The 21,981-nt window shown below is 35.4% G+C and overlaps 1 protein-coding gene across 7 annotated transcripts in view; it reads left to right on the plus strand.

Moving 5' to 3' along the window:
- The window catches only part of RP1 (RP1 axonemal microtubule associated), a 312,050-nt gene that overhangs the window by 83,894 nt on the left and 206,175 nt on the right, over nucleotides 1-21,981 (plus strand). For all 7 annotated transcript variants that reach the window (XM_047422069.1, XM_047422070.1, XM_047422071.1 and 4 more), the window contains 4 exons: nucleotides 5,907-6,070; nucleotides 9,702-9,788; nucleotides 13,005-13,137; nucleotides 20,621-20,772. In XM_047422069.1, the coding sequence (XP_047278025.1) occupies nucleotides 5,907-6,070; nucleotides 9,702-9,788; nucleotides 13,005-13,137; nucleotides 20,621-20,772 (536 nt within the window). The remainder of the gene's footprint in view (nucleotides 1-5,906; nucleotides 6,071-9,701; nucleotides 9,789-13,004; nucleotides 13,138-20,620; nucleotides 20,773-21,981) is intronic.

The raw sequence follows: 21,981 nt of genomic DNA on the forward strand, positions 1-21,981 counted from the left end.
TGATTGTATGAATTATTTGCAAATAAAGGAAATTTGTCCTTTTTCATTTGTGTGGCAGTTTAAAACAATTTTACCATTTGGGTTATAACTTTTACAAGTTTTGTTTATTAATGTTGAAAAAAATCAACTTATTGAGGTATAATTTACATAAAGAGATGTATGCATTTTAAATGTACAATGTGATGAGTTTTAACAGTTGTGTTCACCTGTATAATTACCATCTCAATCAAGATACAGAACAATTCTATCCCAAATAGTTTCTTCATGTTCTCTGAAGATAATTCCACCATTCCTGGCCCTAGGAAAGAACTCATTTGCTTTTAGTTATACAAATAAGCTTGCCTTTTTCTAGCAGTTCTTCTGTGGAATCATAAAGTATATACTCCTCTGACTAGGGTTTTGATCATCATGAAGCTTAAGATTCATCCAAGCTGTTACATCTATTAGTAGCTTGTGCCTTTTAATTGCTGAGTTGTATTCATTATGTAACACATTTTACCTGTAGAGTCACCTCTTGTTTGCTGGGGCTTCTGTAACAGATTACCACAAACTGAGTAACTTAAAAGAACAGATTTATTCTCACAGTTCTGAAGGCTAGAAGTCTGAATGCTGTCTCTAAAGACTCTAGGGGAAGATCCTCCCTCACCTCTTCTCTGGCTTTTGGTGGTTGCCTGAAGTCCTTGGCATTCTTTGGCTTGCAGCAGGGTAGCTGGAATGCCTGACTCCATCTTTGTGTAGCACTCTTCCTCTGTCTCTGTATCTCTTCTCTTCCTATAAGGACACTAGTCACCCATAACAGTTTGCTTTCTAGCCCCCAATAATTCACATCCTTAAGTGCAAAATGCATTTACCGCATCCCAATATTCCCAAAAGTTTTAACCATTCCACCATCAACTTCAAATTCAAAATCTCATCTAAATATTATAATTTCACAAAGTCCCAAATCTCATTTTATATATTATCAAAATAAAATTTGGGTGAGACTCTGGGTATAATGCATCTCGGACCAAAATTCCTCTCCATTCACAGATGTGTGAAACTAGAAAACAAATTATTTGTTTCTAAAATGCAATGATGGGACAGGCATAGGATAAGTATTCCCATTCCAAAAGGAAGAAACTGAAAGGAAAAAAGGGGTCATGTGTTCCAAGCAAGTTAGAAACCTAGCAAATTTCATTAGATTTCAAGGCCTGAGAGTAATCCTCAGTGGCTTACTGCTTTGTTCTCTGGGCCCTACTTGGGTGGTAGCCTACCCACTCAGCCCCCAAGGGCAGTGGCTTTACCCTCTCTGGCCCTCAGAGTCATTTGTCCCATCTCTGTTTCTTTCATCTGATGAAATAATATTCTCCAAAAACCTTGTTGGTCTTCTGTGGATGCCAAAGGGGTCCATACCATTAGACACAAGGACACAAGGGTTCTTCTCCACAGATCTTTCCTTGGTAACTCCGTCTCTATTTATGGCTTCTGCTGAGATGGCTGATTGGATCAGTGAATCATATGTTTAATGCTGTTAGCAAGAGGTTGTTCAGGCACACCCCTGGCCTATTTCCAGAGCCTATCTAGAAAGCTTTAGGTATTTGTTACAGCAGCACCCCACTTCTTATTACCAAATCTTTTTCAGTTTCCTGGGACTGCTATAAGAAAAGTACCATAAATTGGTGCCTTCAAACAACAGAATTTATTCATTCATAGTTCTGTTGGCTAGAAATCTGAAATCAGAGTCAGCAGAATTGGTTCCTTTGAGTGCTCTGAGGGACATCCTGTTCTGTGTGTCCCTCCTAGCTTCTGGTGATTTCCAGCAGTCCTTGGTGTTCCATGATTTGTAGATGTATCATGCTAATCTCTGCCTCCATCTTCACATGACATTTTCCCTGGGTGTCTCTTTTCTAAGTTGTATTGGGTTAAGAGCCTACACTATTCCAGCATGACTTAATATTAATTTATATCATAATTACATCTGCAATGACCCTATGTTTAATTAGGGTCACATTTATAGGTACCAGAGGTTAGGATTTCAACATATCTTTTTTGAAGACAGAATTTAACCCATGACGAACCTGTTGATGGACATTTGGGTTACTCCAGTTTCTGGCTATTGTGAGTAAAACTACAATGAAAATTCATGTACAAGTTTTTGTATGTTTTTATTTCTTTGGGTAGTTTACTACAATGGAATTTCGGGGATATATGGTAAGTTTGTTGAACTTTACAAGAAACTGCCAAACTGTTTCCAAAGTATTATGCCATTTCACATTTCCTCTGGTTATGCATGAGAGTTCTAGTTGTTCTATGTCCTTACCTTGGTATTTTCACTGTTTTTAATTTTAGTTATTATATGTAGTGCTCTATCTCATTGTGGTTTTAGCTTATTTACATTTCTCTAATGAGGAATGATCCTGAGTATCATTTCATTTTCTCCTGTGTTCTGTTAATATGGTGAATTACATTGATTGGCTGCTTAATGTTAAAAAACTTGCATTTCTGGAATAAACTTGAAGATTATAGTTGATGTGGTTTTCTAATATTTTGTTGAGAATATTTTCATTGATGTTTTTGGGGGTTATTGCTCTGCAGTTTTCTTATAATGTGTTTTCTGATTTGGGTACCAGAGTAATATGCTTCTCATACAATGAGTTGGGAACTATTCCAAATGGTTTATATAGGATTGATACCATTTTTTAGAATAGTTTGATACAAAATTCACCACTGAAGCCATCTGGGCCTGAAGTTCTTTGTGAAAAATATTTACAGTATAAATTTATTGTTTTTTTTAGAGGATATAGGATTATTCAAATTTTCTATTTGTTTTGTGTCTGCTCTGGTAAATTGAGTCTTTCCCCAATCTGTTTGCTCATTAAATGACTAAATTGTTTATATAAAGAAAAAAGGAGCTGTTTGTCCACCACCCGCATTCTTTTTTTCTCCAGTTCATCTACTCACCCCTTCAACTCACTCTTTTTCAAATCGAGGCCTAGTGGTATATGTATATTACAAAGACTTAGAATTTTGTCTATTCACATTTTTTCTCCCATAGCATTTCTGAGAAAACTGGGTTAGATGCTGGACAAACTCCTGAAATCTTCTGTCTTACTTGCTTTTTGACTTCTACTTTAAAAGATTATGGCATAAAGTTTTGTACTTTCTTTCTGCTGATGTTTCTTTTTCTTTTTTTTGGCTTCTTATTGTTCTCTTCCTCCTCCCTACTCTCTCCTTCTCCTCCCCCTCCCCCTCTTTTCTGTCTCCTTCTAATTTTTCTTATTCATTATGTTAGTTTTTCTGTGATCTGACCTCGCCTCACTAAAATATTACATTAAGAATATTCTGATGTTTTTCTCTTTTGGTGTGTTGGCCTATTACCTCATATAGATTACAAGCTAATGGAAGACAATGACATCATCTTATGTTTTTCATCTACTCCTCCCTAGACAGTGGTCAACTAGTAATGACCCAATGACTTGTTGGCTTTCTGTCGATTGAAATGTAAGTTATAAACTGAAAGATGAATCTTCGTTCATGATCTTTAGATTCTACTCCAGTTTTTATGGTACTCTGTTGCAGGGTTAAGGTTTGAATCATTTAATGATTTAGGGAGGTGCAAAAACCTATAGTAAACGGACATCATATTTCATTATTTTCATTTTTATTTCCATTCTTTCACTTTTCAGCCTTTCCATCCTAGTTGTTGGAAAATGCAATTTCTTTCTTGATTGATTTGTTCCGTGCATTTTTAGCAAGTATTGATTCTCCCCTGAACTCTTTTGCTGCATTTCTAAGACAGAAGTATGGTATTTCAATTTATTCAAACAAGAACTAACATACCAGTCATCCTACAGAGCATAGCTAGAATTTTTCTAGCTCTGTAGTTTGTAATTGCAATTTAACATTTTCTGTCACTGTTAAAGACAGACCATCCTTGACTAGTTTTTTTAAAATTATGTTTTTATTTACTGATTGTCTACCAAGATGATTTGGTAGCCTAACATGGCTTTCCACTATGTGTAGGGCAAACAAAATATAGTTTTATATTTTTAAGTAGATTTTTTACAAACAGGCCAGGTGCAGTGGCTCATGCCTGTAATCGTAGCGTAGCACTTTGAGGGGCCAAGGTGGGTGGATCATTTGAAGTCAGGAGTTTGAGACCAGCCTGACCAACATGGTGAAACCTCATCTCTACGAAAATACAAAAATTACCTGGGTGTGGTGGCGGGCACCTGTAATCTCAGCTATTGAGAGGCTGAGGCAGGAGAATCACTTGAACCCAGGATACAGAGGTTGCCATGAGCCAAGGTCATACCACTGCACTCCAGCTTGGGTGACACCAGCGAGACTCCCTCTCAAAAAAATAAAAATAAAAAATACAAATACAAACATACATTAATTTAATGTGTATTTATTGTACCATATAAATTTAAATCTAGCCTTTGGTTATTTATTTTAATGATAAAAATGGCAAATACATTTTAGTTCAAAGTTGGAAGAGAGGAAAACAGTCTAATGAGTAGAATGCCATTTAAGTCAGTAGTTCTTAATTTTATTACCTTATATTCTTACTTATTTTATGTAATCTTGAGTGTGTTCCCTAATTTCTCATTACTTCACTTTTGTTTTATTCCTTTTTTTTTTATTTTGAGATAGGTTCTTGCTCTATTGCCCAGGCTAGAGTGTACTGTGGCAAGATCACAGCTTGCTGTGACCTCAAATTCTTGGGCTCAAGCTATTCTTCCACCTCAGCCTTCCAAGTAGGTAGGACTACAGGCATGCGCCACCACATCTGGCTTTCATTTTTCTTATAGATCAGCTTTCTGATTGACATGGTTTGGCTCTGTGTCCTTACCCAAATCTCATCTTGAATTGCAATTCCCAGGTGTTGAGGGAGGATCAGGTGGGAGGTGGTTGGATCATGGGGATGGTTTCCCCCATGCTATTCTCATGATAGTGAGTTCTCATGAGAGCTGATGGTTTCAAAAGTGTTTGGCAGTTCCCCCTTCGCGTGTGCTCTCTCTCTCTCCTGCCTTGTGAAGAAGGTACTTGCTTCTCCTTTGCCTTCTGCCATGATTGTTAAGTTTCCTGAGGCCTTCTCAGCCATGTGGAACTGTGAGTCAATTAAACCTCTTTTATTTATGAATTACCTAGTCGCAGGTAGTAGCTTTATAGCAATGTGAAAATGCAATAATACACTGATGTTTACCCCAAAGAAACCTGACAAAATTAAATCGAAATCCTAGGACATTATATCATACCACTATTAATGTACTATAATGTTTAGTCAGTCTCAGTTATGTTCACAGTGAGCCATATGTTTTCTAGCATTGTTTTCATTTGTTTCTAGGTGATACAAAATATACTTCTGTTTGTAGGATTTAGTTACTTTATTAATTGGGGATACTTAAAATAATAAATGAATAAATTATAGCAGATAACTTCTCAAATTCTACTCACCCAATTCCAGTTTAAATTCTTAATTATTATATAAATTTTTATTTTGGAAAAAAGACATCTAAACTCAAAAAATATCCTAAAAGGCATTAATTCTCAATGCACATGTTACATGCCAGAGCTGAGAATATTGGAGATTTTTTGTCAAAATACTGGGAGCTTCAAAAAAGTTGTTTAGTGGCTCTTTTGGAGTCCAGGTATGACCAACAATAATATAGTAATGATACCACTCTAGCCACCTCACTAAAGATCTTTTTGGAAATATTCTCACTGTCACATTGTAGAAAATAGTAATTTTATTGAGTATTTTAAATTCCAAATATAAATCTTCTGTTATGGCACTTTTTCAGAGGAGATGAAGAATAAGTTTTGTCTATCCTGAACTCTCCTAGTTTTATGATGACCTGCTGTTCTGAGTCTTCCATTTCTATCAGTTGCCATAATGCTGTATGTTATTTTTTCTTTTATAGGTAGTAACTGGAAAGTTTTTATAATCACCAGTGACTTGCCAGATGCAGGGACCAGCTCACAGATTTATATTATTCTGTATGGACAACATAGAAGTTCAGCCCCCATATATCTTTATGGAACAGATGGGGCTCGATTTCAGGTTGGCCATGAAGACATATTTACTGTAAGTAATAAAACTGAGTATAAACTGTTAATATAAGTGATACACCTAGTAGGTACTTTGGAATGAACATAGTCTATCCCTTTAGTAACACCATGTGCCCTGTAGAAGATCATTCAAAAATAATTTATGGAAGTTTTTGCTCAAGCAGATTTAACACAAGTAAATCTGCAATATGGGAAGAGACAGTAGCTAGAGAGAAATACTAGATGGTAAACACTTATTTTTATGTGGACAGACATCAGGAGCAAGGGCTTATGCCTTTCTGGCTCTCCAGATAAGGCTCAAAGTCAAGCTCAAAAAGGGAAAAATAAAATTGTCAAACAAGGAAGGCAAAAAAGTTGTCATCAAGTTGTTAATTACTGGTTTTTATTAGGTATTAGTTATCAAGTTATTAGACCATGGCTAGACACATGGAGATCAGGGTCTAGAGGGAAACAGAGGTAACAAAGATGAAGCAGGGAGACCAGTGCCATGTTGTTAAACTGAAGTCAGATACATTAGCAAACAAAGGCAAGACTTGAAGTGGGTCAAGCACCTGGCACTTACAGATGCTTAGTAATGTCTGTTGAATAAATTAATGGATGCACAGAAGGATTGGTTTGAACCAGGTGGAGACAGAGTAAAATCACCATGAAAAAAGAGTCTCCTTAAGTATTGCAAGTCTTCACAGGACAGCCATCTCCATGTGATCCTGGGTGTTTGGTTTACTACAACCACAGGAGAGGCTGAACCATTTGGAAACATTGTTCCCATTAGATTAGTTTGATCTAACTTTTCCATCCTATATGAGTCAATATTTAAAGACACTCTTGTGTTTATAGTCACTAAAAGGAAAAGATTTTGTCATTATTTTCTGTGAGTAAGAAATAAAAATAGTCTGAGCTGTTGTTGTTTTACTATTTTAGTGTTTCATGTTTTCTTTTAAATTGAATTATATATTCACATAGTTTATAGGGCTAAATAATTTTCAATTCTGTAATAAGAAAGGAACACCCTTAACCCCTCATTTTTATAGTTTGATGCTTCTTTTTTCTGAATGCTGCTACTAAATTTCAGCTCTTTCTGTTGTCACTCTTGCCTGAGTTCTGGGATGGCTACATTAATCTCTTGTTGTAGAGGTGATGGCTTTATTAAATGCAGTAATTTCATGCCAATTTTGATCACAGTTTCGTTTGTTCTAATGAATTGTTTTCTTGTAAGGGTTCTTAGGCAGACTGTTTTACATCTTCCTTTCCTTTTTCCCTGTACTTTCTTTGTATAGACCTTTTCTTTTCTTTTTTATTATGGTAAAATACACAAAAGTTACCATTAAAAAATTTTTAAATTGTACAATTTAGTGGCATATAGTACATTCACAGTGTTATTCAACAATCACTATCTACTTTCATAACATTTTATTCACTCCAAAAGAAAACTTTGTTATGCAGTCACTCCCTGTTGCCTTTCTACCAACCCCTAGCAACCTCTGTCTTGTCTTCCCTTCCTTTCCCTTTCTCTTCCCTTTCCCTTCCCCTCCCCCGTCTACCTCCCTCCTCCCTCCTCCCCTCCCCTCCCCTCCTCTTCCTTTCCCTTCCCTCCCCTTCCCTTTCCTTTCCTATTTGGATGTTTTAAATTTTTTCTTATTGCTGAATTGCTGTAGCTAGAACTTTCAGTACAGTGTTGAATAGAAGTAGCAAAAATTATTATCCTTGTCTTGTTCCTGATTTGGGGGAAAAGCTCTTCATCTTTTGCCATTGAGTAGGACGTTATCTGTGGGTTTTTCTCACGATAAGTGCCCTTTATCATGTTCAGGAAGTTCTTTTCAATTTCTAGTTTGTTGAATTTTTTTTTTAATCATGAAAGGGCATTTGATTTTGTCAAATGTGCATGTGTGTGTGTGTGTCAGGGGGGCAGTTTGGCATCAATTGAGATGATTGTGTTTTTTCCCTCTATTTTATTTACGTGGTATATTAGATTGATATTTGTATGTAGAACCAATTTCCATTCCTGGGATAAATCCTAGTTTATTATAACGTATAATCTTTTTAATATGCCTCTGGATTCATTAGCTAGTTTTGTTGAAGATGTTTGCATCTTTATAAGGCACAGTGGTTTATAGTTTCCTTGTTATGTCTTTGGGTTTGTTATCAGCATAATGCTGACCTTGCAGAATGAGTTAAAAAGTATTTCCACCTCTTTTTTGGAAGTGTTTGGAATTAATTCTTCTTTAAATATTTGATAGAATTCACCAATGAAGCCTTCTGTCCTAGGTTTTTTTTTCTTGGGAGGTTTTTGATTACTGATTCAATCTCTTTACCCTTTATAGGTCTATTCATATTTTTTATTTCTTCGAGTCACTTTTGGTGGTCTGTGTGTTTCTATAGATTTGTCCATTTCATGTAGGTTATCTAATTTGTTGGCATACTATTGCTCATAGCATTCTTTTATAATCCTTTTTATTTCTGTAAAGTCAATAGCAATGTCTCTACTTTTATTTTTGATTTTAGCAATTCTCTTTGCTAACATCTAGATAGGCTAAAGTCTATCAGTTTTATTGATGTTTTTAATAACCAAACATTAATTTATTTTGTTGTTTTTATATTCTCCCTTTTGTTTATCAGTCTATCTCTTTCTTCTACTAGCTTAGGATTTAGTTTGCCTTTCTTTTTCTAGTTCCTTAAGATGTAAAGTTAGGTTATTTATTTGAGATTTCTCTTCTTTTTAAATGTAGGTGTATATAGCTATAAATTTCCCTCAGAGCTCTGCTTTTTCCATATTTTTGTGTTATATTTTTGTTTTCACTTGTCTCAAAGTATTTTTTAATTTTCCTGCAGTTTGTTCTTTGACCTATTTGTTGCTTACGAGTATGTTCTTTAATTTACACTTTTTTTTTTTTCTGAGATGGAGTCTATCTCTCTCGCACAGGCTGGAGTGCAGTGGCATGATCTCAGCTCACTGCAACCTCTGCCTCCCGAGTTCAAGCAATTCTCCTGCCTTAGCTTCCCAAGTAGCTGGGATTACAGGCGCCTGCCAACACGCCCAGCTAATTTTTGTATTTTTTGTAGAGACAGGGTTTCACTGTGTTGGCCAGGCTGGTCTTGAACTCCTGACCTCATGATCCACCTGCCTTGGAATTTACACATATTTTGAACTTTTCAGTTTGCCTTATAATACTGATTTCTGGATTCATTCCATTGTGTTTCGACAAGATACTCTGTATGATTTGTCTTTTTAAATTTTCAAGCCTTGTTTTGTTGCATTACATATGTTCTATCCTGGAGAACGTTCCATGTGTACTTGGAAAGACTGTTTTCTGTTGTTGGGTGGAGTGTTCTATAGATGTTAGGTCTAGGTGGTGTGTAATGTTCAAGGCCTCTATTTTCTTATTCTTTTCTCTACTTGTTCTACCCATCATTAAAGTTGGGTATTGAAGTCTCCAACTATTATCATAGAGTGTCTGTTTCTCTATTCAGTTCTGTTAAATTTTGCTTATTATATTTTAGTACTCTCTTGTTAGGTGTGCACATGTTTATAATTCTTATGTCTTCTTAATGAATTGACCCCTTTATCAACATTTCATGTCCTAATCTGAGCTGTTTTTAAGTGAATTTTGTGAAATTACATTGAAAGTTGTTCCCTTGGCTCTTCATAGATAACAGTTGGAGACATTGGAGCACTCTTTAAGATTCGTATTGGTCATACCAACTCTGGATCCTCCCCTTCCTGGCACTGCAAGGAGGTAAGGATATATCAACACTTTCCCATTCTTTGCAAAATCCTCTGCATATTCCTCTCAGGAGTCAACTCATCATGCCTATAATGAGTTGATAGAGTCCTGTACCTTTTTAGCCAGTGCTTTCTTCAAGGCAGAAGTATCATATGCCCTTAATAATTAATTAATTCTTAATTGATTGAGGGAGGCACCTTAACCAAGCAATTCTTTCACCTCTTTGCAAAGAAAAAAACGCCTGGGACTCTGGATAAACTCATATAGCTTCTTGATATAGTTGCACTGCTGATAAAAAGATGACTAGCTGTATGTTATTTGCTTCAGAAATGTTGTAAAGATAGACCACTGTGTTGATGAAATAATAGTCTACTAGAATTGAATGCCAGCTTTGAAATTTAGTCTATTCATGCTAAGAAGGAAAATGCCCCTTGAGTATTTTTAAGATTAAAAAAAGGCTTAAATTTTCTACATTGTTCAGCATGAAACATCCTACTTATTAGCATGATTGTCAGTAAATGCAGACCTCCAACACTGGAAATCATAGAGCTTGTCATCCAATTTTATATATGGTGTATTTACACCTTCTGTCATTTCAAAATAAATGCTCTTTAACTAAACAAGTTCTCAAAATGTGCAGAAAATCTAGTCATATTCCTGATATTTTCGGCAAACTTACTCTTCTTGAGTTTTAACATGTGGAAGAATTAATGAAAACTTCATAGATGATGAGTAATTCCTTAAAAACATTAAAAAATTCCATTAGCAGAAATATATAGTTGTTAATACCATCTTCTTTATGTTAAAGTTACAAACGATTCTGAAAGCAGAATGAGAAAATAAAACTTACCTTATGAAAATACAGAATGTTGAGGTTATATTTTAAAATTCAAAATTACTACCTGGCTTCTATGTGAAATACTTTTATGCTATATAGAGCTTTTGAAGTATGATATTCAAATTGATTCTTAAATGATCATATATGACAATATCTTTTTTTCTTCCCTCTCAGTAAGGTAAACTAACATATGAAAATTATCATTAATCCTCCTGCCATTTCATTTGATAGCCAATAAGCAAGATTACATTCATTATGAACTTGGGATGCTGAGACAAAAAATTTTGTATTATAGAGGAATGATATAAAAATCAGGCTGAAAATTTCTATTGTCTTTCTCTCTATGGCAAGTATTCTCTCACTGCAAGGGAACTTTGCCTAAGGTTTACTTTGGCTCTTGTTGAGTACCTGTGAAGAAGAAACACATTCTTGATCCAAAGTTTCCTTCTGAATGTAGAAAAGCCCTTATCCAGTTTATCCATTTTGCCAAATTAGATATTGGTTTGAAAATTTTCTGTTCAATTCTTATAATACAGTTTAGAAGTTTGAAATTTGAAATTTTAATTAATCAACTTGTATGGGGATTTGAACAGAATCACTGATTCCATGATAGCAACAATAATACATTTCCATAAAATAACCACATTGCTTTAGAAACTTAATCTTGATTTTTTTCAAGTTTAGTTAGGGAAGATTACAAAATAAAAAGTTCAAAATGTTAGGTTATTTTCTGCTTCTCAAATGATCAGCTTTGGGCCTTAATTAAAATAATCAAATCAGACAGTCTTGGCAGTAATAACCTTGCAAACAATAATTTTTCTCATGGGTTCTCAGGAAGCCTTTCTAAAAGTGACATTACATTGTATCAGAATCACACTTAACATGCATTTATAAATGTGAATTCCTGAACCTGTCTGAGTCTCACAGACCTTAGTAGGATCAGGTACTGAAAATCTGACTTTTTTTCCTTTTTGAGACAGGGTCTCTGTCTATTGCCTAGGCTGGAGACCAGTAGCACGATCATGGCTCACTGCAGCCTTGACTTCCCAGGCTCAAGCGATCCTCCCACCTCAGCCTCCCAAGTAGCTGGGACTATAGGCATGCACCACCACACCTGGCTAATTTTTTATTTTTTGTAGAGACAGGGTCTTGCCATGTTGCCCTGGTTGGTCTCAAACTCCTGGGCTCAAGCAGTCTGCCCACCTTGGGCCCACAAAGTGCTGGGATTACAGGTGTGAGCCACTGTGCCTGGGTGAAAATCTGCCTTTTTAACAGGGTGATTTTAAAATCATTGAAGTTGAAAATCTCTGATTTAAGGCATTCTCAAAAGAGTAAGATTAATTTAATAGTTAAAATAACACCTCACTGAAGCTTTATTTCTAAAAATATTTTAATGAAAAAGTTATCTTTCTGTAAACATTTCATTATACTACAAATGAAACATCTGAATCCATTACAGAACACATCTGAATTCTTAAACGTCAGAAAACATACTGAAGTTTTAAAGTAATTTTGAATATTTAGGTAGGCTAACAATCCTTACATTACCCTTGCACACTGGCATGCTTATTCACTATTTTGTGACATCAATTACTGGAACTCCAAGAGATACTGTAAAAGAATAATAGTACTCTATTCAGAAAAGGCTAGACTTTAGTATCAGAAAATATAATTTTTACTTTTTGATGATTTTCATATTTTTCAGTTCCTACCAGAAATTATTAACATTCTTGTTTAACTCCAGGATAAATGGATCAGGTATAAATAATCAGTGCTTGAGTTTTGTTCATTGCTAAGGATCCAAAGGGGGAACCATATCAGTTTGAATCTGTAGTGTATGAAATCTGACCTTATGCTAATATTTATAAAATCACTTTAAACCAAAAGTTAATTTCTAAGAAGTTGAAACAGGGAAATAATATATTTCTAAAAATGTAAACATCTCTTTCTAAACAGGAAAATATTAATGACATAAGATTTGGGAAGAAATTGCCATGTTTGACATAAACATTTCAAAATAGAAACACTAGAAATAGAAAATTTATCTGGGTGCAGTGGCACGTGTCTGTAGTCCCAGCTACTCAGGAGGCTGAGGTGGGAGGATCACTTCAGCCTAGGAGTTGGCAACCAGCCTGGGCAACATAGCAAGACTTTGTCTCAAATAAATAAATAAATAAATAAATAGAAATAGGAAGATTTTTAGATAGAGGAAAGAAATGCCATTGTACCTGAGATGGCAGTAAAAGAAGAAATTAGCACTGTCAAATTATCAACAGTTTCTCATATTAAAAATAATTCTCTGAGCTAAGTGGCAGTCTTGAACAAAAACTTATTTGACACTTTGATAAAGCATTCCTACATTTTTAAAAGTAATATTATTGTTATTATAGATACAGCTGCATAATATGAATTCTGGAAAACAGTTTTATGTACCTGTTCAACGATGGTTGGCACGAGATCAAGAGGATGGGGAAATCTGTCGAGAATTTCCTCTTTTAAGTAAAGGACAACCTGTCCTTCCAGGTAGGAAAGATTCAACTCCAGGTAGCATGGATAAAACTTGTTTGCCTAAATGCTGAAGGACAGGGAACCAATAAACACATGTTGAGTAAATGAATGATTAAGGACTGCCAGTTTCTTATCACTTACCTCTCTGATGTGGCAGCTGCATCTAAATGCTTTTTAGTTGTTTCACATGCCAGCATTCAGGAGTATGTTCTTGTCAACAGCCCTATAGGAAGGTTGGCTGAAATGCTTCTTAATCAAAACAAGGAAATTAATTCTTAGGCGGTCATGAGAAAATTGAATGTCAAATGACGTTCCTCCAGGGCTAAGAAATGCAAGTCAGTGTCTACTTTTCCCACTGGGCTCTGCCTCATTTTTGAAAATTTATCTATTTGATTAGGAAATAAAACACAACTGCTCAATGACTTTCTAAATGTCTGGCCGAAAGCAGAGATGTGTTCAAGCCTTGTGTAAATTTATGGCTGATAATAGGCTCTTGTTCTACTCAGGATTAGGTAGTCACTGCTCCCCAGCACAAGAATTCAGGGTGACTATCCATAAGAACCATTTGCTCTTGGGTCTGCTGGCCTCTGCCTTGGGGGAGAACGGGATAAGGGCATACGAGATTATTAAATAGACAATTGGCAAAAAATGGATTTTTCTCCAATCCAGACTATGTTCTGTTAAAAATGTGATGTTTTAATTTTCTGAATAAATAAATAAATGAGTAATATTAAGTCTTATCTGACATTAGGCTTAGGTCCATACCAACCTGTGTAGTTTTTTGAGGGAACATAGACTGGTAAACATTTGCACAGATTGATGATTCCTTTGTGGTTTTAAATAAGGTGTGATCACTTTTCTTAAGTTTCTGAAGTTAAAATATTTTTGAAAAGACATGAATAGCCCTAGTTACTGAAAAGTGAAGCAGGAGCATTGTTCTCACCATTCATAAGTATTTTTTTCACCATTTAGAAGCATTGTTATCACTATTCTTCCTCATCAGCCCACACGTTTCACCTGAGAAGATGTTCGCCAGGTGCCCTATTCCTACCCATTGTTAGTAACAATGCAGAGGTGACTTTCTGCTGCTACTTCCCTCCATTTTAACTGTTAAAGTTCTGCTCAAAGAAGGCACACTCTACAAATATGTTCTGATTTTACTTGTCTTCTGTGTAGGGCTTGACCCTTATGGTTTATTAATAAACATTTTTCTTTTCAGTTTCAGGACATGGCTTGGTATTCTAACCATACCCTATCATATGTATCTATAAATTTGATAAGCCTTTAGTTATCTAGGTCAGTGGTAGATACAGCAAATGATGATTTACCCTTGCCATATTTTTATCTAATATTCTAGCTAAGATTGATGCTGTGTCTGAAATGATATCATTACGAATAAGTTAACACTCTTCACTAGAGGTAGACACATAAGTTCTAGGTGGTACAAATAATGAAAGCTGGATTAATGTCTTTTTTGCTATATTTTATTCCTTTAAGATTATAAAAAGTAATGGTAGTTATTCACCATTTAAGACAACAGTAACTCTAAAAGTGTTTGCCCAGTTTACCAGTATACCATCATGTGTACGTGAAAAAAAATTTGTTGTAATTATGGAATTATTTTCCTGCGAAGGATAAAGGTTCCTAACAAAACACCAAAAGTGGGCTCACAGTCTGTGTGAGCTACTTTTAAACAAATTTTATTTTTAATTGTGATAATTAACACAAACATTAACCTTACTACCTTAAACATTTTTAAGTGTACAGTTCACTTGTGTTAAGTGTATTCACATTGTTATGCAACAGATCTTTAGAACTTCTGCATCTTACAAAGCTGAAACTCTATATCCATTAAATACTAATTCCCCCCAATCCCCATCCTGCTGCACTTCTCTCAGCCCTTGGGAACCACATTTCTACTTTCTGTTTCTATGATTTTAACTACTTTAGATACATCATATGAGTGTAAGCATACAGTTTTTGTCCTTTTGTGACTGGTTTATTTTACCTAATGTAATGTCTATGGTATACCATGTTAACAGAATTTTTATTCTTTTTAAGACTGCGTAGGCCGGGCGCGGTGGCTCACGCCTGTAATCCCAGCACTTTGGGAGGCCGAGGCGGGCGGATCACGAGGTCAGGAGATCGAGACCATCCCGGCTAAAACGGTGAAACCCCGTCTCTACTAAAAATACAAAAAAATAGCCGGGCGTAGTGGCGGGCGCCTGTAGTCCCAGCTACTTGGGAGGCTGAGGCAGGAGAATGGCGTGAACCCGGGAGGCGGAGCTTGCAGTGAGCCGAGATCCCGCCACTGCACTCCAGCCTGGGCGACAGAGCGAGACTCCGTCTCAAAAAAAAAAAAAAAAAAAAAGACTGCGTATTACTCTATCATATGTATATACCACAATTTATTTATCCATTCATCTGACAGTGGACATTAGGCTTGCTTCCACCTTCTACCTATTGTGAATCATGTTGTAATGACCATGGGTGTGCAAATTTAAATATCTCTTTGAGATTCTACTTTGAACTCTTTTGGGTGTGTATCTAGAAATGGGGTTGCTGAATTATATGGTAATTCCATTTTAAATTTTTTGAGGAACCTCCTTACCTTTTTCCATAGTAGTTGGACAATTTTACATCCCACAAGGGTTCCAATTTCTCTGCATTCTCCCCAACACTTGTTTTTTTTTTTTCTATTGATACTGGCCATCCTAATGGGTGTGAGGTAGTTTTTCATTGTGGTTTTCATTTGCATTTCTGTAATAATTAGTGATGTTGAATTTTTGTAGGCTTGTAGGCCATTTGTATATATTCTTTGATGAATTGTCTATTCAAGCTCTTTGCCTATTTTTAAATTGGATTGTCTCTTTTTCATGTGTTATTGTTTAGTTGAAGGAGTTCCTTATTTTTTCTGGATATTAGCCTCATCAGATATATGATTGGGAAATATTTTTTGCAACTCCATAAGTTGCTTGTTTACACTAATGATTGTTGCCTTTGCTGTGCAGAAGTTTTTAAGTTTGATGTAGCCCCATTTGTTTATGTTTGTTTTTGTTGCATGTGATTTTGGTGTCATATTCAAGAAATAACTGCCAAATTTGATATCCTGAAGGTTTTCTCTTAAGATTTCATCTAGGAGTTTTATGTATTTAGATTTTTATGGTTAGGTCTTTAATACATTTTTAGTCAATATCTATATTGATGTAAGATAAAGATTCAACTTTATTTATTTATTTTTTTGCATGTGGATATCCAGTTTAGTCAACACCATTTATCGACGAGACTGTCTTCCTCCTTGTGTGGTCTTGGCACCCTTGTCAAAATCATTTCACTGTATAATCGAGGGCTTTTTTCTGAGTTCTCTATTCTATTCTATTAGTCTGTCTATCTTTATCCCAGTACCACACTGCCTTTATTACTGTTGCTTTGTCATATGTATTAAAATCAAGAAGTGTGAGGCTTATAACTTTGATCATTTCAAGATTGTTTTGACTATTCAGGGATCTCTTGGCAATCTACATGAATTTTTGGATTTTTTCCTATTTCTGTAAAAATTGCTGTTGAGATTTTGATAGGGACTGCATTTAATCTTTAGATTGCTTTGGGTAAGGTAGACATTTTAACAATATTAAGTCTTCTAACCTACAAACTTGGGGTGTCTTTCCATTTATTTGTTTCTTTATTTTAACAACGTTTTGTAGTTTTCACTGTACATATCTTTTGCTGCCTTGGTTTAGTATTAAGTATAGTATTTTATTGTTTTTGGTGCTATTGTAAATGCAATTGTTTTCTTAATTTCTTTTTGTATTATTCTTTGTTAGTATATAGTAACGCAGCTGCTTTTTGAGTGTTGATTTTGTTGTTTTAACAATTTTTTTTGTGTGGAGGCTTTTAGAGTTTTCTACATATATAACCTGCAAACAGCGATAATCTTGCTTCTTCTCTTCCAAGTTGGTTATCTTTTATTTGTTTTTCTTGTTTTAATTGCAATACCTAGAACTTTCAGTCATATGTTGAATAGAAATGATGAGAGTGGGCATCCTTGTCTTTTTCATGATCTTAGAGGAAAAGTTTTTTTCTTTCATCAATAAGTATTGTGTTAGCTGTGAGCTTTTTATATATTGCCATTATTATGTTGAGATAGTTTCCTTCTTTTCCTAGTTTGTTGAGAGCTTTTATCAAGGAAGGATGTTGGATTATAAGAATGCTTTTTCTGCATTGATGAAGTTTTTTGTTTTTTGTCTTTCATTCTGTTAATGTGGCATGTTACATTGATTGATTTTCATATGTGGAACCATCCTTGTATATCTAGGTATAAATGCAACTTGGTCATGCTGTATGTGCTGGGGGTAGGAGGGGGAGCTTCAGCATGTAAAATGCCATGAATTTTCCTACTGACTTTGATGAGGTTCTTTTTGTCTTTGGGCTTGCCTGGGTGCAGGAACCTCTTAGGTGGTTTCTGGGGTTCTCACAAAGGCAAATGTTCCAAGCATTGTTGTTATGATGGTGTCTCTGTGGGCAAATGCATTTTGCTGATGCCCTATGGGTACTTTTTAATGAAACAACTATTTTGTATTTCAGTTTACCCAGTAGAACCCTGGGTAAATATGTCAATTAAGAAAATTTCAGTTCATTTTTATTATATATTTGTCTTTTAAGTTCTTACATGGAAAATAAAAGAAGAATACCTCTGATTAGAATAGCACAAAGGTGATAGACCACTGTTACTCTGATCCCCCTCCGCTTGTTTTCTCTCTCCAACTTTAGCATAGTTATTTGGTTTTTAAAAAAGGAAAAATGAAATTTTGGTTAGAAAAATAATAAGGAAGCCTGAGTGTGGTGGTTTACACTTGTAATCCCAGCACTTTGGGAGGCTAAGTCAGGTGGATCTCTTGAGTTCAAGACCAGCCTGGGCAACATGGTAAAACCCCATCTCTATTAAAAAATATAAAATTATATATTATGAATATGTAATATAATATAATGTTATAATATATAATTATATTATTATATATACATAATGATATATATAATATATACATAATGATATATAAATGATATATATAAATGATATATATGATATATAAATGATATATATATGAGATATATATATATATATGAGAAAATTAGCTGGGCATGGTAGCACATGCCTGTAGTCCCAGCTAGTCAGGAGCCTGAGGAGGGAGGATCGCTTGAGTCTGGGAGGTTGAGGATGCAGTGAGCCATGATTGTTCCACTGCATTCCAGCCTGAGTGACAGAACCAGATCCTGTATTAAAAAAAAAAGAAATCTTTAGATTCTTTAGAAAAGGATTGTCAAGTTTACAATCCCAGAAAGTAAATAAAACTTCCCTCAATAGTTCCTACTTATAAACCTTCTGCATGAGCTGAGGAGGGAATGGAATATGAAAGAATATCAACTGATGTGAAAATCCAGAGGATGGAGCTGGTGTGGGAGGGCAGTGCAGAACCGTGTTTGAATTCACGGAATTCTTGAATTAGAATCTTTTTCTCTTCTTCTGGTACTTCACGCCCATGAATATCAGGTATTTTATTATTATCCTACAGGTCCCTGAGGTTCTTTTTTTTAAAAAAGTATTTTTCTGTGTTGTTAGATTGGATGATTTCTATTTATCTGTCTTCAAGCTCATTTGTGCTTTCCTCTGTTCTCTCCAGTCTGCTCTTGAGCCTCTTCAGTGAGTTTTAAAATTTGTTTATGATGCTTTTTTTCAGTTCTAAAATTTCTATTTAGTTCTTCTTTAAATTTTCTATTTCTTTGTGAGGATTTTCTATTTCTCCATTGGTTTTAAGAGTGTTCATGCTTGTTTGTAGTAACATTTGTATCCTGACTGCTTTAAAATCTTTGCCAGATAATCAGTACCCGTGTCATCTCAATGGTGATGTCTCCATTCTCTTTTCCCATGTGAGCTGATATTTTTCTTGTTCTTAATATTCTGAGTATTCTTATTATATTCTGGGAATTTTACATATTATTATATGAGACACTAGTTCTTATTTAAATCCTAAGGAGAATGTTGATATTTTTGTTTTAGTATATAGTTGACTACTGGTTAATTTCAGGTTATAAATCCTAACCTGTCTTCTGTGGGCTGTGGTTCCAATGCCAGTTCAGTTCTTAAAGCCACTACAGTTCTTGGATCTTTCTTTTGGTCCTTTGCTTAGAAAACTGAGGCTTTGGTTATCCTGTTGTGCTGTGCACTTCTGCAGTCTTCCTGTTTGGAAGGAAGACCCTACTGAAGCCCAGTTCCACCAAACAGAAGAGAAAGTTCTCTCCTTCAGAATGTTGGCTCCAATGTGCTCTTCTTCCTAGGCACAAGGATGTAAGAAAATAGAGAAATGCAAGTAAAAAAATGGTAGCATGTCTGCATCTTCTCATCTTTATATTTGAGGAGTTCCCTTTCCTGCCTCCTGAACCAGAACTAGAGGGCTTCTACCGAGCCCCCATATCTGAGGTCCCAGTACCTATTTCCAGGTCTCTGGTGCATTGAATCCAGGCTGGGGGACTGCGGAGGAGGAAAAATGGTAAACTCACAGATGCTTGGTGTTACTTTAAATGTTGGTCTTCTTCCCCATTCCTCCTGCTGCTGTTCATGTTTTGATCTTCATATAGCTGTTCTATGCATTCTGTCAAAGTTTTATAGCTGCATTCAGTAGGAGAGACTGGATGGTGTGGGTTACTCCATATTACCTGGAACTAGAACTCTTGATTGGATTTCTGTACAGTAGTCCCCGCTTATCCATGGTTTTTCTCTCCTTGATCTCAGTTCTTCAAAGTCACTTGCTGTCCAAAAATATTAAATGTAAAATTCCAGAAACAGACAATTCATAAATTTTAAGTTATGTCCCATTCTGAGTGTAATGAAATCTTCTGCTGTCCTGCTCCATCCTGCCCTGATGTGAATCACCCCTTTCTCTAGTGAATCCATGCTGTGTATGCTCTCTGCCTGTGCATCACTTAGTAGCCATCATGCTTATTGTATCGACTGTCACAGCATCGTAGTGCTTGTGTTCAAGCAACCCTTATTTTACTGAATAATGGCCTCAAAGTGCAAGAACAGTGATGCTGGCAATTTGGATATTTCAAAGAGAAGCCGTAAAGTACTTCCTTTAAGTGAAAAGGTGAAAGTTATTGAATTGATATGGAAAGAAAAAAAAAGTATGTCAAATTTGCTAAGATTTGTGGTAAGAACAAGTTTTCTGTCTGTGAAATTGTGACCAGCATATTGTTATAATTAATCAATTTTATTGTTATTGTTAATCTCTTATGGTGCCTAATTCGTAAACTAAACTTTATTATAGGTATGTATCAATAGGGAAAAACATAGTATATATAGAATTTTTTACTGCCTGTGGTTTCTGGCATCCACTGGGGATCTTGGAACTTTTCCACCATGGATAAGAGGAGATTTCTGTATGTAATTTTCTGTTATATGAGTACTGCTTGGCACTGAAAGTTTTTTTTCTTATGTTGTCAGTGACAATATATGAAGTGAATGTGGCAACGGGTGAGCTATGGAATGCTGGAACAGTAGCAAACGTCTACATTTCTATCCATGGGGAAAAGGGAGATACAGGATCCAGACAACTATTTAGATCGAAGAGCTCCTTCAATTTTTTAAGAGGACAAGTAAGCAAAATGCCCTTTGATTTTAAAAAGATTAATCATGGTAAAAACACATAAAATAAGATTTACTGTTGTAACTATTCTAAGAGTTTTTAATTTCACAGTTTAGTAATGTTAAGTATATTCACATTTCTGTGCAACAGATCATCAGAACTTTTTCATCTTCCAAAATAGGTAATCTAATAATTAACAACTCCCCATTTCTCCTTCCCTTCAGTCCCTAGTAACCACCATTCTACTTTCTATTTCTGTGCATTTACTTCAGATACCTCATGTAAGGGAAATAATATAGTAATTGTCTTTTGTGACTGGCTTATTTCACTTAGCATAATGTCCTCAAGATTCATCCATGTTATAGCATGTGACAGTATTTCCTTTCTTTTTAAGGCTGAATAATACTCCATTGTGTGTAAACAAACAAACTACATTTTGTTTATGATTTCATTGATTAATGGACATTTGGGTTGCCTCCACCTCTTGGCTATTGTGAATAATGCTACTGTGTACATAGGGGTGCAGATATCTCTTTGAGCTCATCTTTTCAAATTGTTTTTGAGACATATTTAGAAGTGGGATTGAGGGATCATATGGTAGTTTGTTTTTAATTTTTTGAAACTACTGTGCTGTTTTGCATAGCAGTTGTACCATTTTACAATCCCACCAGCAGTGCACAAGGGTTCCAGTTTTGCCATCTCCTTGCCAAGACTTGTTAATTTTTTTTTATGTAACCATCCTAATGGCTATGAAGGGATATCTCATTGCTTTCGATGTACATTTCTTTATTTATTAGTGATGTTGAACATCTTTCATATGCTTATTGGCCACTTGTATATAATCTTTGGAGAAATGTTTGTTCAAGTCCTTTGCCCATTTTAGGGTTGGGTTATTTGTAGGAATAGAAAACCAAATACTGTATGTTCTCACTTATAAGTGGAGCTCATTATAGGGTACTCATGGACACAATGAGAGCAACAATAGACACTAGGGTGTGGAGAGGGATGTGAGAGAAGGAGGCAAGGATTGAAAAACTGTTGGGTACTATGCTTAGTACCTGGGTGATGGGATCATTCATATCCCAAACCTCAGCATCACACAATATACCCGGTTAACACACCTGCACATGTACTGCCTGAATCTAAAATAAAAGTTGAAAAAGAAAAAATTGGGTTATTTCTTCTTTTTTGTTGTTGAATTGTAGAAGTTCTTTATTTA

Source organism: Homo sapiens, chromosome 8 (genome assembly GCF_000001405.40).
Source record: "Homo sapiens chromosome 8, GRCh38.p14 Primary Assembly".
NCBI lineage: Eukaryota > Metazoa > Chordata > Mammalia > Primates > Hominidae > Homo > Homo sapiens.